Genomic DNA, 2,078 nt, shown 5'->3' on the forward strand with positions numbered 1-2,078 from the left:
CCTGACCAAAAGGAAGCTCTTTCCAGTCAATTGACACTCAGTCTTGAGTGTCTGAATGTCTTGCAGTTAAATTGTTAGAAAATGACATTGAAAGTGGGAAAGGTTTTTTTCTCTTTTGCCTCTCTTCTAACTTTAATACACTAAACGTATTTTCAGTTACTTTATAAACTTGAAATAAATGCTTAACATAAATTTTCATTAAAATTCAGAATGATTTTCAACATCAGATTCTAACTCTAATGTTCATCATAAGTCCATTTTAAATAACAATAGTAATTCTCACTGTCTTCTTTTCTGAAGCACAAAACCACTACTGTCTTCAAGAGGAGAATGAGACACTAATTCATGTCCCATTACATCTTGGTTGGATTACTGCAGTTCATTATAGACTTTCTTGCCTGTTTACTTAGGCAATAAATCTTGTCATTACATATACTACATATCTCAGGTTCAAGATAACTGCACAAAGGCTGTATTGCTATTATAAACCTTTAATTTAAAAATCCATAATTGAAGAAGGGCAAATATGTGGTTGAGGCTTGAAGCATTGGTCATTTGGAGGCACTCCAATGTTGAACTGCACTTGTTCCAAGTAATAATTTCAGAGGTGAGATAAGAAGGGTGATGAGGCCATGGGTCTAAACAGAACCAAATCCCTAAGAGACAATGTTGTCTCATATCTAGAGCCTCATACCTCTGCTTCTACCTATTAACATTGGTAAGACCCTTATTGCCAAGATAAAAACAAAGGCTGCAAAAATCAAGTAGAAAGGTTTAGCAGATAAGAAGCACAAACAGACACTTTGTCAACCCTTGAATGCTGATGTTGGTTCCCTCGGGATTTTTCAAATTCACCAAACTTTTATGCTGAAAATTAATGAAGAGTAGTTATTTAAAAAATCAAACCCTCATGCCTTTCACCTTCTTTAGACATCTTTCAAAGTGAATATTAAAAATGGCCCAGTGTTTATTAAGTGTTGGACACACTGCTAAATACTTAAGTACTCACATCTCTTGCAAGAGTCCCTTAAAATGGTGTGTGGGTGGGGGGAACGACATTACTTAAAATATAATTGAATTAAGTGTGAATTTAAATTATTAATTTGTTGATAAGTAGATTAATAAATTAATTTATTCTCTGGAGCTGAAATTGAGATGAAGTTTAGATAACATGTCTATCTAATCTTAAAGCTACACCATGACCATTGATGTTGGTCTCAAACACACAGGTACAGTTTTATGCTATTTCCATTTGTTAAATCCTTGAACCGACCTGATTGTTCTAGAGGAGTTGGGCTTCAGCTCTCTTTCCTCAAAACCATTCATACTCTCTCCAGGTAATTTAATTTCTCCTTCTTTAAGCTTCAACTTCTACCTCTTCAACTGCAACTTTTAAATTTATATCTCTAGCTCTAATCTCTCTTCTGTCTTCCAGAATTATGTTGCCAACTTTATTTTTTTAATCTTTTGAGTTGTTTTTAAATTTTTTACTTTGAAATAATTTTAAACTTACTAAAGACTTTCAAAGAGAGTACAGAGAGGCCACAGATACCCTTCACCCACTTTCCCCTAATGTTGACCTCTTTTCTAACTATTATCACATTAATAATTATCACAACTATCATAATTAGCATTGGTGGCTGGGCGTGGTGGCTCACATCTGTAATCCCAGCACTTTGGGAGGCCAAGGCGAGAGGATGACTTGAGCCCAGGTGTTCAAGACCAGTCTGGGCAACATGATGAAACCCCATCTCTACAACAAATACAAAAATTATCTGGGTGTGGTGGTAAGCACCTATAATCCCAGCTGTTCAGGAGGCTGAGGCTGGAGGATAGATTGAGCCCAGGAGGTTAAGACTGCAGTGAGCTATGATTATGCCACTGCACTACAGCCTGGGCAACAGAGTGAGACCCTGTTTCGAAGAAGGAGAAGGAGGAAAAGGAGGAGAAATAAATTAGCACTGGTGCAAAGCTCTTAACTAAATTACAGACATTTTTGAATTTGTTTAGTTTTCCACGAATGTTTTTCTTTGTAGAATAATCCAATCTAAGACACCACATTGCATTTAGTCTCTTCT

At 36.0% G+C, this 2,078-nt stretch overlaps 1 annotated feature.

Moving 5' to 3' along the window:
• Positions 1,640-1,839: a silencer, noted in NCBI's record as "fragment chr18:36698331-36698530 (GRCh37/hg19 assembly coordinates)". NCBI's record gives its function as "represses an EF-1alpha promoter that drives an FKBP-Casp9 reporter gene in an ReSE screen in HepG2 liver carcinoma cells {active_cell/tissue: HepG2}" and the evidence as "EXISTENCE:reporter gene assay evidence [ECO:0000049][PMID:32094911]".

This window comes from Homo sapiens, chromosome 18 (assembly GCF_000001405.40).
Source record: "Homo sapiens chromosome 18, GRCh38.p14 Primary Assembly".
In the NCBI taxonomy this organism is placed as follows: domain Eukaryota; kingdom Metazoa; phylum Chordata; class Mammalia; order Primates; family Hominidae; genus Homo; species Homo sapiens.